At 50.3% G+C, this 20,857-nt stretch overlaps 1 protein-coding gene and 1 long non-coding RNA gene across 3 annotated transcripts in view, besides 3 other annotated features; one reads left to right on the forward strand and one right to left on the reverse strand.

Annotated features, from left to right (window-relative positions):
* Positions 1–14,608, reverse strand: part of NEURL1-AS1 (NEURL1 antisense RNA 1) — a 37,840-nt gene extending 23,232 nt beyond the window's left edge. The window contains exons 1-3 of one of the 2 annotated variants that reach the window (NR_120676.1): positions 14,552–14,608; positions 12,507–12,568; positions 8,945–9,321 (exon numbers count right to left, since the gene is read on the reverse strand). This is a non-coding gene — a long non-coding RNA (NEURL1 antisense RNA 1). Of the gene's footprint in view, positions 1–8,944; positions 9,322–12,506; positions 12,569–14,551 lie in introns of those variants that run through there. The other variant, NR_120675.1, reaches the window with a different exon arrangement.
* The window catches only part of NEURL1 (neuralized E3 ubiquitin protein ligase 1), a 98,842-nt gene that overhangs the window by 9,130 nt on the left and 68,855 nt on the right, over positions 1–20,857 (forward strand). The gene's annotated exons all lie outside the window — the stretch shown is intronic.
* Positions 1,658–1,952: an enhancer, noted in NCBI's record as "tiled region #14515; K562 Activating non-DNase unmatched - State 8:EnhW". NCBI's record gives its function as "activates a minimal TATA promoter and a strong SV40 promoter by Sharpr-MPRA in K562 cells {active_cell/tissue: K562}" and the evidence as "EXISTENCE:reporter gene assay evidence [ECO:0000049][PMID:27701403]".
* Positions 12,681–12,760: an enhancer, noted in NCBI's record as "active region_3965". NCBI's record gives its function as "activates an Ori minimal core promoter by ATAC-STARR-seq in GM12878 lymphoblastoid cells {active_cell/tissue: GM12878}" and the evidence as "EXISTENCE:reporter gene assay evidence [ECO:0000049][PMID:35858748]".
* Positions 12,781–12,940: an enhancer, noted in NCBI's record as "active region_3966". NCBI's record gives its function as "activates an Ori minimal core promoter by ATAC-STARR-seq in GM12878 lymphoblastoid cells {active_cell/tissue: GM12878}" and the evidence as "EXISTENCE:reporter gene assay evidence [ECO:0000049][PMID:35858748]".

A 20,857-nucleotide genomic window follows, 5' to 3' on the forward strand; every position in this document is an offset into this window, starting at 1 on the left:
AGTTTGTGCCTGTCTCATTCCTGGACCTGCACACCCAGGGGCTAGAACTGAGGGGCTGCTTCACGCTGAGCCGGTTGCTTTGGCAACCCTGGGCAGGATGCAAGTGGTCTCCTTGGTAACGCCTGGGAAACCTGCCTCAGGGATGGAGGGAAGTGAACTGGCCAGCATCAGGCTCGGTGGCACAGGCAGAACTGGCCCTGGCTGCTGAGACAAGCTGGCCGATAGGAGGGCCAGCTTCCCAAATAGCCTGGGCTGCCTTTTGGCCATTTCCAGCAAGCCAGAGTCCAAAGGCCCTGTGGAGCCTGTGGGTCCCGCCTGGCCAGACCAGAGGCGCTAATGGGCCAGCCCAGGAAGTGGGAGGTGGTGAGGGGCTGGGGAGAGGGAGAATATAGCTTCTGGATGACAGATCCAGCTCCAGAGTTTATTAAAAGATGCTTATCAGGAGTCATCCCCCGGATGGCTTTGGGAAATGAGCAGGTGTTGACACTTGTAGGGGGTAAGAGGGCAGAACTTAGAGAAAAAGAAGGGCTAAGAGAAGAGGAGGAGGAATAAGCAGGAGTCACTGGGAGGCAGGTGGGAGGCCTTGGCTTTTTCTCTGCTCTAGTGACAGTTCCAAGGGGAGGTGGGGCTCTGGCACTGGGCTTGGGAACTGAAGTTCTCTGAGGATGAGAGTTGGGGTTTGTGGGATGCACTGATGGGGACGGTAAGAGGTAGGTGGGAGAGCTCATTTCATTGTTAAACTAAGCATCAGCTGAGGGCCATCAGCCGTGGGCTAGACACCTTCCTGGGCACGCCGATACGGTGAGAAATGCAATAGGTGAGTGCTCACCACTTCCAGCTTACCCTTTAGTGGGAAGGCAGATGGGAACAAAAATGACAAATGCATAAAAATGAATCTGGAGATCACAATTGCTAACATATATGTGCTAGAGCTCATGCTGTGCTCCCCCTGGCTTTTTTTTTTTTTTTTTTTTGAGACAGGGTCTTGTTCTGCTGCCCAGGTTGGAGTGCAGTGGCGTGATCACAGCTCACTGCAGCCTCACCCCCCGGGCTCAATGGATCCTCCCTCCACAGCCTCCTGAGTAGCTAAGACTACAGGTGTGCACCATCATGCCTGGCTAGTATTTTATTTATTTATTTATTTATTTATTTATTTATTTATTTATTTATCTTTTTGGAGACAGAATTTCACTCTGTCGCCCAGGCTGGAGTGCAGTGGCGCCATCTCAGCTCACTGCAACATCTGCCTTCCAGGTTCAAGGTATTCTTCTGCCTCAGCCTCCTGAGTAGCTGGGATTACAGGCACACACCACCACGCCCGGCTAATTTTTGTATTTTTAGAGAGCTGGGGTTTCACCATGTTGGTCAGGCTGGTCTTGAACCCCTGAACTTGTGATCTGCCCTCCTCGGCCTCCCAGAGTGCTGGGATTACAGGCGGGAGCCACTGTGCCTGGCCTGTTGTCATGTTTTCTTAGTCTCCCTCCTCTTGGTTGTGACAATTTCTCACACTTTCCTTGCTTTTGATGACCTTGACAGTTTTGAGGATTACTGGTTACGTATTTGTAGACTGTCTCTCTATTGGGATTTTTGTGGTGTTCTTCTCATGATTAGATTGCGGTTTTAGGTTTTGGAGTGAAAGACCACAGAGGTAAAGTGCCATTTCCCATCATATCAACGGCACATGCTGTCAACATGACTCATTGCTGTTGATGTTGACCTTGAGCGCCTGGCTGAGGGAGTGCTTGTCAGGTCTCTCCATTGTGCAGTTAAAGTTACACTTTCCTCCCTTTCTATTGCATTCTTTGGAAGGAAGTCACTGTGTGCAGCCCACACTTAAGCGGTGGGGGGGTTACGCTCCACAGGGGTGGGTGTTTACGTTCCACCTCCTGGAGGCCAGAGGCCCCGCTATCTTTAACAGTTCTTCTCCACTACTTCTTTAATTTCTTACCCAAACAATTATCTCTGGGTAAAGGCTTTGAAGGAGAAACTAGGGAGCTATAAGGGGGGAACTTGACTTGGTCTTGGGGATCAGGGAAGGTTTCTCTAGGAAGTGACCTGAAAATGAGTAGGGGTTGGCCTCAGTTCCTAGATGGGAAGCTACTAGCACGTTAGGCGAGAACTGTTCATTTCTCATCCTTGGCCTCTGCCGATTAAATGCCACTGGCCGCTCCAAATGCCAATGTGCCATTAAAAAAATAATAGCTCTCCTGTATCTTTTTTTTTTTTTTTTTAAAGAAACAAAGTCTTGCCTTGTTATCCAGGCTCTGGAGTGTGGTGGTTGTGACCTTGGCTTGCTGCAGCCTCAACCTTCTGGGCTCAAGCAATCCTCCCACCTCAGCCTCCTGAGTAGCTGGGTCTACAGGCACACAATACCAAGCCCAGCTAATTTTTTTTTTTTTTTTTTTGGTAGACGGAGTCTTGCTCTGCTGCCCAGGTTGGAGTGCACTGGTGCGATCTCAGCTCACTGCAACCTCCATGTCTGGGTTCAAGCAATTCTCTCTGCCTCAGCCTCCCGAATAGCTGGGATTACAGGCACCTACCACCACACCTGGCTAATTTTTGTATTTTTTAGTAGAAACAAGGTTTTGCCATGTTGGCCAGGCTGGTCTTGAACTCCTGACCTCAGGTGATCTGTCCACCTTGGCCTCCCAAAATGTTGGTATTACAGGCTTCAGCCATTGCTCTCAGCCCTGGCTAATTTTTTAATTTTTGTAGAGACAGGATGTCACTATGTTGCCCAGGCTGGTCTCAAACTCCTGGCCTCAAGTGATCCTCCCACCTTAGCCTCCTAACGTGTTGGGTTTACAGGCATGAGCCACCATGTCCAGCCAGCCAGCTCTTCTGTATCTTAAAAAGCACCCTAGACGGGGCAGTACTACCCCAGTTGAGCTGGGTATGGAGGCCACATGAAGGGTGTTCTTAGGAGAAGGAGCTCAGGACTGGCTCAGAGCTGCTGCCGGGTACAGCAGGGCTGAGCCCTGGCCAGAGTCACCCCAGCCCTCCTGGCCAAGGAACTTTCAGCAGAAAATCATTAAGTAGCTGCTTCCTTGCCTCTCAGAGGTGTCCCACCCGCTTCTCACTCATTCTGTCCGTGGAAGTACATTGCTGATCACAGACTGTGTGGGGACAGGGGAGGAGGAGGAGGAGAGAGGGCCCTTCTTGGGATGGGGGGACAGAAGAGGGAAGTATGTCTGCTGGCTTACCCAGATGGCCTTCTTTAGCCTTGTTGCCCTAGAATGCCATCCTGGCTGCTCCAGCGGTTGGGGTAAGGACGGAAAAGGGAGAACGTTGACAGGCGAGGTTGCTAGGATTAAGATGATGGCAGGTCCACATGCTCTTGGCTTTCACCTTCATCCTTCCCACTTGGCTTGCCCCAGCCCCTGCCTGGTGTCTGCTGAGAGGCTGATGTTCTCCAGGGCATGGGGCAGTCCAGAGTATGTGTGTCCAAGTATGGGTGTCCAGGTGCCCCTGAGAGGGAGGGGAGGAGGCACTCTGGCCCAATCAGGGTAGAATGAGGCTGTAAGGATATTCTAGCTGATTCATTTCATGTATTGGTGCCTGCTCTGAGCTAGGCATGGTGCTGGGTATGGAGAATTGAGAGGTGAGTACTGGGCATGGTCTCTGCCCTGACATACTCAGGGCCCTGCCTTGTCCAATTCAGTCGGTCCTTATTGGCAGGAGGGTCCTCCCTTCTTCCTCCTCCTCCTCCTCCTTCACGTCTGCTGTCTGCTTTTTTTTTTTTTGAGACGGAGTCTCACTCTGTCGCCCAGGCTGGAGTATAGTGGTGCAGTCTTGGCTCACTGCAGCCTCCACCTCCCGGGTTCAAGCGATTCTCATGCCTCAGCCTCCCAAATAGCTGAGACTACAGGTGTGCACCACCACGCCCAGCTAATTTTTGTATTTTTAGTAGAGACAGGGTTTCACCATGTTGGCCAGGCTGGTCTTGAACTCCTGACCTCAAGTGATCTGCCTGCCTCGGCCTCCCAAAGTACGGGGGATTACAGGTGTGTGCCGCTGTGCCCGGCCCACTTCTGCTTTCTTTTCCTTTTCTTGCCCTGCTCTTTCCAGCTAATGTTCCTTTAAACACATTCTTCCCGAAGGGAGAAGGTCTGGCAGGTACCAAGCACAGGCACAAAGTCAGGCCTGTGCTTGGTTCCTGGTGGAAGGGCTGGTGGCCACTGATTCAAACATCAGAACCCAAGTGTATCATGGAGATTGTTTTGCCCTACCTGCTTTCTCATCTCAGGTCCCCTTGGCCCCAGAGTGGGAAAGTGACCTGCCCAAGGTCATACAGCTGGATTGGACCAAGCAGTAACAAGATCCCCAGGCTCTGACCTTGCAGGATGATGCTCTTAGGAGCTGCTGGAAGCTGACTCCAGAGGAACACCTGAGGGGGACAAGTGCTGGCCCTAAATGTGATGCAGATGCTCCTCTGCTTAGAGTGTGACGCCTGAGGGGAGTCACTGAAGAGCCTTAAACAGAAGAGTGACAGGATCACTTAGATGTGCTAGTAGGCTCTTGGGGCAAGAGATGGGGAGGGGTGGAGAGGGGCCAGGCAGGAGTCCACTGCAGTCCTTTATGCAAGGAGAGAGGTGTGGCTTCTGTCAGAGTTGGGCAGGCGAGCAGATTGACTCGGGAGATACTTTAGAAGGTCAACTTGAAGCTCTGGAGGTGGGTCCAGGAGAGGGAGCTGTTGGGGAGCTGCTTGTGCCATCTCTGAATCCTGACATCTGTGGCAGTGGTCAACATGCACCTGGGGGCTCTGTGGAAGGTCAGGGTGTGCACACTTGGGACCTGTGCTCCTGCCGTGGGTGTGAGGTTTTACAGCCAGGAAGAGAGACAGGTGAGCAGGCTGGGCAGGCTCTGAGCTGTGGTTCCATCCCTACCCCTTGGGACACCATCAATCATTAATGTCCTCTCTGCCTGTCACAGGTGGCTCCCAGGAGGGCAGAGGCAGCACCTGCGGTGTGATGTGCACCTGGCTTCTTTTCTGCCAGGGACCTGCAGCCCTGCCCCAGCCAGGCTCTCTCAGGTGGCTCGCCTCCCTGTAGGTTCCAGTTCCCAGCCACACACACACAAGCCCCTGAAAGGTGGCCATAAATCAGCCGGGACAGGCCAAGGTTGCTCTGGCTTTCCCAGAGTGGAGATCAAAGCCCCAGACCCCCACCCTGGGGCTCAGCACTTATTAAATTATAAAACTGTCAAGGGATGGACAAGCAAGAGGGACTGGATGGATGGCCCTGTAGTAAAACAGAATGCGGAAGAGCAGCTGAGAACCAGGCAACAGCTGGGAAAGTGGGGAGAGGAGGAAACGCCTGTTTGTCTCCGCCCCTGGGCTTGGGGACTTCTCACAGGGTCAGGTCCCTCGAATTTGAAAAGCATGTAACCAACCCCTCTCCCCTCCCATGACAGAATTCACAGCACACTTTACAGAGGAGACACTGAGTCCGAATTGCCACAGGACTGTGAAAGTCCGATCTTCCAAATCTCACTCAGATTCTTCCTGGGTCTCTTCATGGGACCTCTTTGAATTAGCATTAGGGTGACATCCATTTGCGACTCTCATCCTCAGGATACAGCTAGGACCTCTTTCTGTCTCTGAGCGCCCTGACTTCTCTTCCAGCCCCGAGGGACAAAGGCAGACCTTGGACTCAATGGAGTGCCAGCCCTGTCTGGGTGGACAGACTTTCTCACCCACCCCTCCGCAAGTCCCATGCAGGAAACCCCCTCTTTGGAGGGCTGAGAGGGCTTAGCCAGTGCCTGAGAGGGGCAGAAGGGGTTTTCCCTTTCTGAGGCTGGCGTTTGCAGATCTGTGGGACTGAGGAGACCAGCCAGACATGCAGACCCTGATGTGGGCCCAGGGGTTGGAGGAAGCGGTTGGGATAGGTCATGAGGGAGCAGAATGCCACTCACATGAAAGTTTCGGCCTCAGAGGGCAGCCCGCCAGGAAACTAGGGCTCTGTGTGCATGAGGGAGTCCTGCCTCCTTCACAGCAAAATGTGAAAGAAGCTGTTTTAGGGATCTTGGGTTTCCTCATCTGATCCCCCAAGTTGAGGTTGTGTTAAAGAAACCAAATACAGGGTCAGGTGCGGTGGCTCATGTCTGTAATCCCAGCACTTTGGGTGGCTTTGGCTTAGCTTCACCTCCTTAGCACGAGGCTGAGGCGGGTGGATCACCTGAGGTCAGGAGTTCGAGACCAGCCCGGCCAACATGGCGAAAGCCCATCTCTATTAAAAATACAAAACAATTAGCTGGGTGTGGTGGCGCACACCTGTTAGTCCCAGCTACTCAGGAGGCTGAGGCAGGAGAATCACTTGAACCCAGGAGGCAGAGGCTGCAGTGAGCCAAGATCGCACCACTGCACTCCAGCAGCCTGGGTGACAGAGCAAGACTCTGTCTCAAAAAAAAAAAAAAAAAAGAGAAAGAAACCAAATACAGTTGTGTGTGGCTTAACAATGGGGACACATTCTGAGAATTGTGTTGTTAGGCGATTTCGTCATAGGGGAACAGCACAGAGTGCACTTACACAAACCTAGATGGTGTAGCCTCCTGCACATCTAGGCTATGTGTTGTGGCCTATTGTTCCTTGGCTACAAACCTATATAGCATTACTGTGCTAGATACCGCAGGCAGTGGTAACACAAGGGTAAGTATTTATGCACCTAACCATAGAAAAGGTAACATAATGCATTGCACGATGATGTTATCATGGCTACGACATCACTGGGTGATAGGAATTTTTCAGCTCCGTCATAATCTTATGGGATCACTGTCTTATATGTGATCTGTCATTGAACGAAATGTCATTGTGCGGCTCATTTCTGTATAAGAAGAGGCCAGATCGGCTTTTGAAGAGAGAGCTCCCTCCCCAAGATTCAGGACTTTTTCTGAAAGTGGAGGTTTTCTGTCTGGTGCTAAGGTTCTCAGTTCCTGAGGCATGAGGTGGTATTTTGGGGTGAAGGTGCTATTTCTGCAGGCAAGATTTTGGGCTGATCTTGAGGCTCCCATTTGGGAGTATGGGTTCCAGGTTGAGGATGAGGGTTCCATTCCTGGAGGGCAGGTTTCCGTTTCAGGGTCCAGGATTTGTGATTGTGTTTCAGTCTTGTGGTCAAGAGTCCATTTTGGAGCTCAGTATTCTGGAATTGGGTTGAGATTCTCTCCCTGGGTGGGGTTTGATGATCAGGGTGGAGGTCTTGTACCCTGGGAGGAAGGGAAGAGCTAGAACCTCCTTCCTCTTCTAGAGGAGACTTCCTGGGGCCATCAGCAGATGAAGGGGCCGGTAGAGCAACCTCTGAGCTGACACCTGGGAGGCCCAGGCTCCAGCCCTGGCCTTGGTGTAAGACTGTTTGTGGGTAAGTCACTTATAAGCTCTAGGTCTCTGGCTGCAAGCTTTGGCCGGACAGTGATGTTGACTCACAAAGCACCATCCATGTTCACTTGAGCTTCCCAAAATGACACTAATGGTGGGCTCCGTAGACACCCACGGCCACTGCTTTGCTTGGTGAGTCAAATCCATGGTGACAGGACTCAGGCTGCCCTGGGCACTGCCAGCTTGGTCCAATTAGTGCCAATTGGATCTTAACGTGTGCTGAGCGGCCCCTGGGGAGAGTGAGCACACATCGAGTGGGACATGTTAAATCTGGGTCCCTGGGGCTTGGCATGTGGCTCTGTGGGGCGGGAGATGGGCCAGGTTGGGCCAACAGCCCCCCTCCTTGTAGGCCAGCTCTTACCTAGGCCAGGCAGTGGGCAAAGACATGTGGCAAGCCAGGTTCTGAAGGGGCCCAGCTGTCTCCCTTGTGCTGTGCTGAGGGGCTGAGACCCAGAGGGGCTGTTCTTCACCCCTGGCTGGGCTGACCCCTGCCTGAGAAACATCTGTGTCTATATAGGACTGCCACCCACACCCCTCCTCTGTTTCTCTCTTGCTACCTCCAATGTGGATCCTTCTCTTGGAGAGCTAAAGTTGCTGGGAAGAAAAAGTTCCATTCCATTTGTCCTGGGCTTTGAGCTCTGGGAAGCCCTCTTCCTTCCCAGGTGTTGCTCAAGACCCCCCTAGAAGTTTCTCAGGCAGGCGGTCTTGGCCTTATTTCCTGGATGTTTCCAGGCCACCCCCCGCCGCTGTTTCCCATTTCCACTGCCCAGGTCACACCATTGCCAGTGGGCCTTGAATGGGGGGGCTCCTGACTTGGCCTCTTAGCCCGCATCCACCCTGCTGCAGGTGGACTTCCCCATCTCAGAGGCCCTCCTTTGTTTTACCAAAACAGGCGACAGGATAGGAGTGAGTGGGGGACATGCTTTCCAGGTCTAGGGCAATCTCTTCTGTGCTCTGAAAGGACATCTTTGGGATAGAGTCCTTTCCCTGAAGTGCAGGAAACTCAGGCACTTGAGAAGAGGGGGAACTTTCTCCACCAGCCAGTCTGTCCCAGGGACACAGGGGGAGCTCTGGGTCTGCAGGGACCCCCAGGCCCCCTCTCTTGGCCTGGCCATGGAACCTGAGAGGCTGAGAGGCCTGGGGGTCCCACTGGGCTATGGAAACCCAACCCACATGCTGACGCTGGTGCAGCCCAGCAGGCCTCTGGAATTCTCCAGCAGCATCTGAGGGGACCTGGGGTGCAAGGAGGGAAGAGGAAAGGTAGGCAGGATAGAATGCACTGTAGCCAAGGCATAGACTCTGGAATTGGACTTTGTCTTGGCTCCCTGGGCCTCAAAGCTTAACTTCTCCATGTCCTAATTCCTTATTTGAGGTAATGCTTGACTAGTAATAAAAGCATAATAAATATTAGCTATGGTTGCCATCGTTGGGCTCATCCTTCAGGTCTTGGCTTAGCTTCGCCTACTCTAGGAAGCTTTCCCTGACCACCGGGTGGGTTAGATGGCTTCTGCTGTCCCTCTCTGGCTGCCCTGGGCTTCACCATCCTCGCACTGATCACACTAGCTGCCAGGCCTGTTTGCTTGTCTGTATTTTTTACTGTCTCTCTTGCTTACTGCTGTATCACCACCACCAGTGCCTGGCACACACAGTAGGCACTCAACTATGTTTTGAAATTAATGCAAGAATGGGCTGATTCTGGGGAATTCAAACTTTTCTTCTATGGGCTCTTCAGGGCTGCCGCAGCCACATCCAGTTAGTTCTCTGCTGAAATGACATTTTCTGAATACCAGGCTCTGGAGCCCAGACAAGAGCAAGATGGAACCATTGCTTCATTCATTCATTCATTCATTGATGGCACAGATGTTCTTTGGGTGCTCTTTAGGTGTCAGGCCTTGTGCCAGGCTCTGGAGACAGACATGGTTCTGCCCTTATAGAACTTGTGCTGCTGATCACTTGGGCAGAGGGAGGTCAGAAGTCAGAGGAGAGAGTGGTCAGTTAGGCTGAATGGAATCAGGGAGAACTTCCAGGAGAAGGGGTTTGCTTTGAAGAATGGTGGAGAAGTTTAGATGGACAGAGAGGGGCTTTCTCTTGGGAGTGGGCAAGGAGCTGATGGAGGAGATGGAGCCACCTATGTGTAGCCATGAGGCAAGGCTGACCAGTGACAGTGTGGCCTGAGGCTGTGCAGCCAACCCACAGGACTCAAAAGCTGTGGGGACCATTGGTCCTGGCTCTGCCAGCCACAGATAGGTGACCTTGGGCAGGGCACTTCTCTGTCCCTCCAAGTAGTTTAGTCATTTCTAAGATGGGAACTGGCTGGGTGAGGTGGTTCATGCTTGGAATCCCAGCACTTTGGAAGGCTGAAGTGGGTGGATTGCTTGAGCCCAGGAGTTCAAGACCAGCCTGGGTGACATGGAGAAACCCCATCTCTACCAAACAAACATAAAAAGGACGGGAGCTGTGCTGCTCGGCAGTTTCCCCAGCGCCCGCAGGGTTGGGCTGGGCTCAAGGGCAGGTATGTGTGGAGGGAGGCTTGTGTGGGAAAGGGGAGGGCTTCAGGTGTCTCTGTTTTGTAAATAATTAAATTCTTATCTTAAGCTAGTTGTGTCCACACTGAGGGAGGCAGGAGGGGGACTGGGAACAAGGTGCTGTGTTGTCCAGGAAGTGGCTGGGTCCCTTCTCTCCCCTCTTCCCTCCCTCCTGGCCTCCCAGTCAAGGCAGGTGGTGGGGGCCCCTAGGGTCTTCTCGTCTCTGGCTGCCTCACTCCTTCCCCGTCTTTCTCTCTCCCTCTACCTTCTCATTTCTGGTTCCCTGTCACATTCCCACCTCTACGACATAAAGGACCCCCTGCCCCTCTCCATTGACACCCCCCCAGGCCACCATGGCCACCATCACCCGGTGCCCACCCGGCTTTGCTGCCTGCTGAAGTCTTGCTCGCTCCCCAGCAGCCCTCCCTGGCAGCCCCCAGGTCTGCTGAGCCTCTCGGGAGGCCTCAGGGGAGCACTGGCCTCTCCCTTGCCCCAGTGCTCCAGAGACAAGCAGGCACATTTTCATTTTTAGTGCTTACTACTGGGAATGTGAAGGTCTGTTTAGTCTTGTCCAGCTAACATAAACCAGCCGGAACTGGGCCGTGGCAGGGAACTTTGCTGTAGTTCCCTTATTTGGAATGAAATTCATTGTTTTTCACTGGGAGGTATTGGGGGCTTTGGGGAGGCCCCACTGGGCCCTGCCCCAGGGTGTGGCCTGAGTGGCCTCTCCAAGGCTCACTGAGGTGCCTGTGCCACAGAGGCTAGCCCTGGGATACCTCAGCCCCTGCCAGGTTCACAGACTGCGGACAGCCGCGAGCCACGCCTAGTGCCTCAGGAATGGAGAGTGTCTGGGGTCATGTCCAACTCTGTCAGTTCACAGAGGAGAAACTGAGGCTCACAGAGGAGCAGGGACCTACCCAGACTCACAGGGCAAGTTGAAGCAGGTGGAGGTCTAGAACCCAGGGCCCCTGGTCCTCTGGTTCTCAGACCTCTATACTGTGGGGCCAGGGTGCCTCTGGCCTAGGAGCTGGTGAGGGTGGGGGGTGGGAGGACAGGGGTGCGGATGAATCTGGCTGGAGTGGTCTGCAGCTTGGGAATCCCCCAAGGCCTCTGGGGCAGGCTAGTGTGAGGCCTGGGGCAGTGAGGCCGGGGGAGGGCTGTGGGAGAGGAGGAAGGGGAGGTGAGAGGAGAGGGAGAGGTGTCCAAGAGGCTGGGGGAGCTGGATCCGGCCCTGACCCCGCTGTTGTCAGTGTGACTTTAGCCTTGGTTTCCCCCATCTGTCCCAGAGGCTCAGTCTTTTTACTTTTTCTCTTTCTTTTTGCACCTCTCCCAGGAGGTCTCCTGGATGAACTGAGTTGGGGATGTTTCTTTTTCTTTTTTTTTCTTTTTTTTGAGACAGAGTCTTGCTGGAGTGTAGTGGCACGATCTTGGCTCACTGCAACCTCCGCCTCCTGGGGTTCAAGCAATTCTCCTACCTCAGCCTCCCAAGTAGCTGGGACTACAGCATGCGCCACCAAGCCCAGCTAATTTTTTTTGTATTTTTAGTAGAGATGGGGTTTCACCATGTTGGTCAGGATGGTCTCGATCTCTTGACCTTGTGATCTGCCCACCTCGGCCTTCCAAAGGGAGTGTTTCTTACCTGCCATGGACCGCGTCCCCGGGCTGGTTACTATCCCTCTCTGTGCCCAGGCTCCTTTCCTTGTCAAGTGGAGTGTGGACTCTCCTTGAGGCCTCTGCTCTCTGACCCCTCCTGCCCCAGCCTGGGCCATCTGCCCCTGGGCTTCTCTTCACTCTAGACTCCTGAGTCTGCAGGGTCTGGCCCCTCAGACCCAAAAGTTTGTCTGGGGAAGTCCTCCTGCTCAGACCCCCAGCCCTGCAGAGAGGGCAGGGCTGGTGGAGAACAGAGGGAGTAGCCCCTGGCACTGTGGCAAGGGAGTGAGATTGACAGGCAGATCTTGGGTTCAAACCTTGACTCTGACACTTATTAACTAGGCTATTAATTTGGGGCAGCTACTTCAAAACCCAGGGACCCTAAGGGCCCCATACGTAGGATAGGGAGTGGGGCAGGAAGCATGCATGCCCAGGGCCACCGACAGGGGTGTGCTCAACTCTAGGTGCCTCAGGCCAGCCTTGGGGCTCTCTCTGGACAGCCCCCTCTCCCCATCCACCTCACCACCCTGTGGCCTTAGTTCTATCTCAGTCTACTCAAGAAACATCAGGCTGGGCAGGTGGCTCATGGCTGTAATCCCAGTACTTTGGGAGGCCGAGGCAGGTGGATCACCTGAGGTCAGGAGTTTGAGACTGGCCTGGCCAACATGGTGAAACTCTGTCTGTACTAAAAATACAAAAATTAGCCAGGTGTGGTGATGGGCACCTGTAATCCCAGCTATTCGGGAGGCTGAGGCAGGAGAATCGCTTGAGCCTGGGAGGCGGAGGTTGCAGTGAGCTGAGATCACGCCGCCGTACTCCAGTCTGGGCGACAGAGCAAGACTCTGTCTCAAAAAAAAAAAAAAAAAAAAAAAAAAAAAGAAACATCAAGTGTGTGTTTAGATATTCTTTCCAGAGGAAGTTCCCCACTTCACATCCTTTAAAATAACTTCTCATTTACTCACTTATTCTTTTCACAGGAAACGCACAGCTGGGACGTAGGAGGCTGTAACTGACCAGTGTGGGACTGGAAAAGGAAAGAGAGATGTTAGAAAGTGTGGGCCTGGGGAATCCTAACTAGAAGGCCCCTGGTGCTGGGGAAATTAGGGTAGGAGATGCTGCATTGTTTACTATGAAAATTCCAGTCACTGCTCTTTTAGCAGTCATGCTAGTACATTAGCCAAGGCTGTTTATAAAGGTATAGTAAACTTTCACTTCTGCAAGGTCAGTGAGACTCTCATTTGCAAAAGATCATCTTGTTGCCAAGAACAAATCACCACCTAGTGAAACATTTAGCTCAGCCATGAAAGTGAAACCAGATGACGAATGAACTAGTGTCCACACAGACCCTAGGTGTCTCTGGGCAGTAGGAGCTATTGAAAGTTTTAGATTTGCTTTTTGGAAAGATCGTGCTGGCTACCCTGTGGAGGATGGAGTTAAGAGGGACAAGTTGGAAGACCACTTATGAAGGAAGTGAAGTTGTCTAGGGGAGGGATGCTGAAGCCTGAACTACAGATGTGGTCCAAGAGAGGAAGGAACACGTTTGAAACATATTTAAGAGGTGTGCTTTGGCCGAGTGCGGTGGCTCATGCCTGTAATCCCAGCACTTTGGGAGGCCAAGGCAGGTGGATCACTTGAGTCCAGGAGTTTGAGACCAGCCTGAGCAACATTGCAAAACACCATTTCTACAAAAATATAAAAAATTAGCCGAGTGTGGTGGTGTGCGCCTGTAGTCCCAGCTACTTGGGAGGCTGAGGTGGGAGGATCATTTGAGCCTGGGAGGTGAAGGTTGCAGTGAGCTGAGACTGCACGACTGCACTCCAGCCTGGGTGATAGAGTGAGACCCCATCTCAAAAAAAAAAAAAAAAAGAAAAGAAAAAAATAAAAGGTTGTGTTTGGCAGCACTGATAACTGAATGATGCAGGCGGTGAGAGTGAGGGAATAATCCAAGATTATTCCTGGTGCCAGGTTTTCAGGTGACTGGGAGAATGGTGATCCCATCAGGACCCCAAGCAGAAGGCGGGGGTTGGAGGGAAAGATGATAGGTTGAGTTTTGGCCAGGGTGTGTCAGAAGAGCCCTGAGATATCCTGGGGGAGACGCTGGGTTGGCAACTCCATGTGTGAGCTTGAATCTCAGAAGAGAGATCAGGGCCACAATGAGTTGTCAGCAGTGGGTGTCACTTAAACCATGAGAGTGGTTGAAATATCACAGGGTGGACAGAATGAAACCATGAAGAAGGTGTGGGAGAGGTACAAGGAGAATCAGGAAAGGTCAGAGGGCCAGAGAGGCCAAGGGAGCAGAGTTTAGAGGTATGATATGGCACAGTGCAGTGGTTCTCTAAGGGCCTACGAATTGCCTGGAGAGCTTGGAAAAATGTAGATTCCTCCTCAGGGGACCTGGAATAACCAGTACGATTCTGGAAGAAAGAAAAACCTGGAGGACTTACACTTCCTGATTTATTTACTTTCCTTTCTCCTTTCTCCTTTCTTCCTTCCTCCCTCCCTCCCTCCCTCTCTTCCTTCCTTCCTTCCTTCTTTGGAAGAAAAACCTGGAATACTTACACTTCCTGATTTATTTCCTTTCCTTTTCCTCCCTCCCTCCCTTCCTTTCTTCCTTCCTTCCCTCCATCCTTCCTCCCTCCCTCCCTCCCTTTTCTTTTTTCTTTTTTGAGACAGGGTCCTACTCTGTCACCCAGGCTGGAGTACAGTGGCGTGATCTCGTCTTACTGCAGCCTCCACCTCCTGGGCTCAAGGGATCCTCCCACCTCAGCCTCCTGAGTAGCTGGGACTACCAGCATGTGCTACCACGCTCAGTTGATTTTTAAACTTTTTGTAGAGATGAGGTCTCACTATATTGCTGAGGCTGGTCTTGAACTCCTAGGCTCAAGCGATCCTCCTGCCTTGGCCTCCCAAAGTGTTGGGATTACAGGTGTGAGTCACCATTGTGTGACCTGCCCTATACCATTACTCACCTTCTTCAAACTTCTAATAATAAACAAGAAATACCTACTGTTTAATGACCTCCTACTGTGTACCAGGCCCTGAGCCCCAAGACCCACAGCTCTGACCTCATTTACTCAACACAATGGCTTTGTGAGCTAGGAGCTAGGTGGGTCAGCCTGAGGGGCTGGTTTCCGTAGTGAGTCCTCTCCTGCCCACATCTGGCCTTTGCCTGAGCTGGCCCCAAATTTCATCTCCTCTGTGTCTCCTCTGAGTTGATAGGACTGGAAGCCCCTGGCTGTCTGTAATCAAGTCCACAAAGGTTCATGAGTCAAATCAGAAGTCAATGTACTGTTTCCCAAAGAGAAATTTTCTGTCAGATGGACTTCCTGGCACCTTCTCCCCTGCAGCAGCTCTTTGAGTGCTGGGTGAACTTGCTCTAGGCCTGGCAAGTTGAGAACACAGTCTGAGAGTTCAATGCCTATGGGCTCTGAGCCTTGCCCAGGCCACTTCACCAACAGGGAAATGCCTGCCAGGAGGACCCAACACTTGGGCCTGGCAGGCCACCATCTCCCTGGCTCTGCTCCCGTGGGCCTCACCGCAGTGTGCCTCAGTGACATCCCCTTTTCACCGATCTTTGGCATCCAATGAACACATCTTTTCTTCACCTCCAGCCAGGTATCCTTTATGTCTCTTGAGGGTAACTTTGCATGCCCTGATCCATGAACAGTCAATTTCCTAGACTGAAATTTGGGAAAGCTTATTGCCAAGAGCCATGGACTGGGAGTACCTTATTTTGCCCCTTTCTCCACTTACTGCCCACACAGTTTCAGGAAGGAAGCAGTGGGTTAAGTAAATGATGACGTCTATTCACAGGAATACCTTGCAGCTTTACACATTAATGAGGTACCATGATTTAAAAAAAAAGTCTACTATATTATTAAAAGAGCAAATTGTGTAATATGTATAGTATGGGCCTGTTTGCATTTAGAGTGCTACATTTTTCCTTCCCCCTCTTCCTCTCCCTTCCCTTCCCTCCCTCTCTCTCCCTCTTTTCTTTCATTCCTTTCTTTCAACCAGTATTTAGTCAATGCCTACTGTGTGCCAGGCACTGTTCTAAGTACTAGGATACAGCAGGGAACAAGTCCTCTGTCTCATGGAATTATATTCTTATGAAGAGAGACAGATTTTTAAAACCCAAAAACATGACATATGGATGTCAGATGATGAAAAATGCCCTGGAGAGAAAGAAACCATGAGTGAGGCAGATACAGGGATTATGAGTTGGGGGGTCTGGGGAACAGCACTTTGAATAGGTTGGGCCAGAGAAGACCTGATGGCATTTGCAGGAGGTGAGGGAGTGAGCAGTGCAGGTATCTTGGGGAACAACTCTATTCTGTGGTTCCATACCTTGATATCTACCTGTGCATCTAGTTATCACTCAGACATATTTACTTTGTTTGTTTGTACACACACAGACCAAGGCTGAGTGGATACCCACCCAACTGTTACCAGGGGCTACCTCTGGAGAATTGGCTGGGGTTGAGTAGTGTTGGGGAACGGGATGCTTTTACTCCACACAAATCAGTACTGTTATATTTATTTATTTTTAACAATAAGCACATATTGCTTTTACAGTTTAAACTTTTATAGGCGCAGTGTCTCATGCCTATAATCCCAGCACTTTGGGAGGCTGAGGCGGGTGGATCGCTTGAGGTTAGAAGTTCAAAATCAGCCTGGGCAACATGGTGAAACCCTGTCTCTACTAAAAACACAAAAAAATTAGCTGGGCATGGTGGCGGGTGCCTGTAATCCCAGCTACTCGGGAGGCTAAGGCAGGAGAATTGCTTGAACCTGGAAGATGGAGGTTGCAGTGAGCCGAGATCGTGCCATCACACTCCAGCCTAGGCAACAGAGCAAGACTCTGTCTCAAAAAAAAGAAAGAAAGAAAGAAAGAAAAAAACACTTTTTTAAAAAATGAACTTTTATAGCCCTGTCCCCTCCCAAAAGAGAGTATGGTCAGCAGAGTCGTCTTGCTGCTTTGACCAGTGGTATCAAGGAATAAATGAGATAATTGATACGTGATTGCCAGTGGTTGTGCCTATGTCTAGAAAAGGTTAAATTTTGTTTCCTTCTCATATTCTTCCCCTCAGTGCCCAGGCAGGGCTAGGTATCCAGAAGTGCATAATATAACCACAGTGGAGTCCTGGGCTCACCTGCCTTGGTGCAAGTCCCTGGGAGTCAGTGCCTGGGCTCCACATCGTATGCATCTGAGGGCTGGTCGGGTCTAGTTCCCTCCATAGAGATTAAGGAACCCCTTAAGGGCTTATCCAGAAGATGCCAAATCTCCCTTGAGCCTGTTGTTTTGGGCCACCTGTCCTGGACATCACATTACACCATCGTCATCACTTTTGTCACCATTTTAAACTCTACTACCATCACCAGCAATAGTTTTTTGTTGTTGTTGTTGTTTCTTTTTTTTTTTCGAGACAGGGTCTTGCTTTGTTGTCTAGGCTGGAGTACAGTGGCGTGATAATGGTTTATTGCAGCCTTGACCCCCCGGGGCTCAAGCAATTCTCCCACTTTAGCCTCTGAGTAGCCGAGACTACAGGCATGTACCAGCATACTCTGGCTAATTTTTAAATTTTTTTTAGAGATGGGTCTTACTATGTTGTCCAGGCTGGTCTCACACTCCTAGCCTCAAGCAATCCTCCTGCTTCAGCCTCCCAGAGTGCTGGGATAACAGGTGTAAGCCACTGCTCCTGGCCCAGATAGTTGCTTTAAAAACAGTTTATTGCTTAAATTTTTATAAAGGTAACATATACTTTTAGGAAAATCCAAGAACATATGAAGGAAAAAATAAGAACTCACTTATAAATGATTAAAGTCAGTGTCACGTACGTCCGTGTGAAGAGACCACCAAACAGGCTTTGTGTGAGCAATAAAGCTGTATATTTCACCTGGGTGCAGGCGGGCTGAGTCTGAAAAGAGAGTCAGTGAAGGGAGATACGGGTGGGGCCATTTTATAGGATTTGGGTGGGTAGTGGAAAATTACAGTCAAGGGGGGTTTTTCTCTTGCAGGCAGGGGCGAGGGTCACAAGGTGCTCAGTGGGGGAGCTTCTGAGCCAGGAGAAGGAATTTCACAAGGTTAATCACTCAGTTAAGGTGGGGCAGGAACAAATCACAATGGTGGAATGTCATCAGTTAAGGCAGGAACCGACCATTTTGACTTCTTTTGTGATTCTTCACTTGCTTCAGGCCATCTGGATGTTTACGTGCAGGTCACAGGGGATATGATGGCTTGGCTTGAGCTCAGAGGCCTGACATTCCTGTCTTCTTATATTAATAAGAAAAATAACATAAAATAGTGTCGAAGTGTTGGGGCAGGGAAAATTTTGGGGGGTGGTATGGAGAGATAATGGGTGATGTTTCTCAGGGCTGCTTCCAGCGGGATTAGGGTTGGCGTGGGAACCTACAGTGGGAGAGATTAAGCTGACGGAAGATTCTGTGGTAAGGGGTGATATTGTGGGGTTGTTAGAAGGAGGATTTGTCTTATAGAATGATTGGTGATGGCCTGGATACGGTTTTGGATGAATTGAGAAACTAAACGGAAGACACAAGGTCTGAATAAGAGAAGGAAAAAAACAGGTATTAAAGGACTAAGAATTGGGAGGACCCAGGACATCCAATTAGAGAGTGCCCAAGGGGTTCAGTGTAATTACTTGCTTGGTTGGTGAGTTTTTGGGCTCTATCCTGGACAGAGTCCTCCTTTTTAAGTTGGAGGCTGAGCTTCGTGAGGTGTGTTTTTAAAAGACCATTAGTCCGTTCTACCTTTCCTAAAGATTGAGGACAGAAAGGGGTATGAAGGTTCTACTGAATACCCAAAGCCCGAGAAACTGCTTGGGTGATTTGACTAATAAAGGGCCGGTCCGTTATTGGACTGTATAGAGGTGGGAAGGCCAAACCGAGGAATTATGTCTGACAGAAGGGAAGAAATGACCGCAGTGGCCTTCTCAGACCCTGTGGGAAAGGCCTCTACCCATCCAGTGAAAGTGTCTACCTAGACCAAGAGGTATTTTAGTTTCCTGACTCGAGACATGTGAGTAAAGTCAATTTGCCAGTCCTGGGCGGGGGCAAATCCCCGAGCTTGATGTGTAGGGAAGGGAGGGGGCCTGAACAATCCCTGACGAGTAGCAGAACAGCAGATGGAACACTGAGAAGTGATTTCCTTAAGGATAGATTTCCATGATGGAAAGGAAATGAGAGGTTCTAACAGGTGGGCTAGTGGCTTGTAACCAACCTAGAAGAGGTTATGAAATGATGATAGAATAGAATGGGCCCGTGAGGCTGGAAGGAGATATTCTCCTTGGTCCAAGAACCATTTGCCTTGTGTGGGAAGAGATTGATAGGCGGAAGTTTCATTGGGAGAGTAGGTGGGAGTGATCGATGAGAAGGAGAAAAACTGGCCATAAGGGACAGAAGTTGGAATGCTAGCTGCCCGGGTTTCGGCACCAAATGTCATGTGTGTCCATGTGAAGAGACCACCAAACAGGCTTTGTGTGAGCAACAAGGCTGTTTATTTCACCTGGGTGCAGGCGGGTTGAGTCAGAAAAGAGAGTCAGTGAAGAGATAGGGTTGGGGCCGTTTTATAGGATTTGGGTGGGTGGTGGAATATTACAGTCAAAGGGGGTTTTTCTCTTGTGGGCAGGGGCAGGGGTCACAAGGTGCTCAGTGGGGGAGCTTCTGAGCCAGGAGGAGGAATTTCACAAGGTTAATCACTCGGTTAAGGTGGGGCAGGAACAAATCACAATGGTGGAATGTCATCAGTTAAGGCAAGAACTGGCCATTTTGACTTCTTTTGTGATTCTTCACTTGCTTCAGGCCATCCGGATGTTTACGTGCAGGTCACAGGGGATATGATGGCTTGGCTTGGGCTCAGAGGCCTGACAGTCAGCATTTTGATGCGTTTTTTTTTCTGGGTCTTCATTTTTATGTTCTTAAAAGTCCTCTTGCCAGGGATGGTGGCTCACGCCTGTAATCCCAGAACCTTGGGAAGCCGAGGTGAGCGGGTCACCTGAGGTTGGGAGTTCGAGACCAGCCTGACCAACGTGAAGAAACCCCATCTCTACTAATAATACAAAAAAAAAAAATTAGCCGGGTGTGGTGGCACATGCCTGTAATCCCAGCTACTCGGGAGAGTCACTTGAACCCGGGAGGTGGAGGTTGCGGTGAGCCAAGATCACGCCATTGCACTCCAGCCTGGGCAACAAGAGCAAAACTCCATTTCAAAAAAAAAAAAAAAAAAAAGAAGTCGTCTTTGTCTCATGCAATCAGAATGAAACCTTATTGGTTTGTTAGGTAAAACATCAATGTAGGGAATAGTAGTATAAAATAATACATACATAAATATTTTCACCAAAACACACGAATTTGCATTTACTAGTTGGTGTCTTGATGCAGAGCCATGATCCGCTGGTTGGAATTCCCTGAGTACCTCTTGTAGGAACCCTCCTAAGGCACGCTCTCCAGTAGTCAGTTTTGGCTGCTTTGAAGTGCAACAGGAGCCTAAAGATGCTTTTGAATTTTTTAGGGGCAAAATCCTTCTAGTTTTTTTTTTACTGAGGATTTTATAGTTGTCTTGCCTGTATATAATTTGACAGTATTTTTTAGCCTTTATTATTTTTAATTGTCACATAATAATTATACATTTTATGGGGTACAGTGATATTTTGATATATATAGTCAATGTGTTATAATCAAATCAGGGTAATTAACATGTGTATCAACTCAAACACTTATCATTTCTTTGTGCTGGGAACATTCAAATCCACTCTCCTAGCTATTTGAAAATATACAGAGCCAGGCTTGGTGGCTCAAGCTTGTAATCCCAACACTTTGGGAAGCTGAGGCAGGAGGATCGCTTGAGGCTAGGGGTTTGAGACCAGCATGGGCAACATAGTGAGACCCCCATCTTTACAAAAAATAAAAAAAATTGCCAGGAAGGTTGGCACATGCCTGTAGTCCCAGCTACTCTGGAGGCTAAGGTGGAAGGATCACTTGAGTCCAAGAGTTTAAGGCTGCAGTGAGAGATGATGGCACCACTGCACTCCAGCCTGGGTGACATAACAAGACCTTGTCTCAAAAAAAAAAAGAAAAGAAAAAGAAAAAAAAGTACAATAAATTGTTGTTAGTTATAGTCACCCTATAGTGCTATAGAACACTAGCACTTATCCCTTCTATCTAGCTGTGCTTCTGAATCTGTAAACCAACCTTTGGTTATCCCTCTCCCCCTTCCTTTTCCCTGCCTCTGGTTACTATTCTGTTCTCTACCTCTATGAGAACAACTTTTTTCACTTCCACATATGAATGAGAACAT

The sequence above is a fragment of the Homo sapiens genome, chromosome 10 (genome assembly GCF_000001405.40).
Source record: "Homo sapiens chromosome 10, GRCh38.p14 Primary Assembly".
Taxonomy (NCBI): domain Eukaryota; kingdom Metazoa; phylum Chordata; class Mammalia; order Primates; family Hominidae; genus Homo; species Homo sapiens.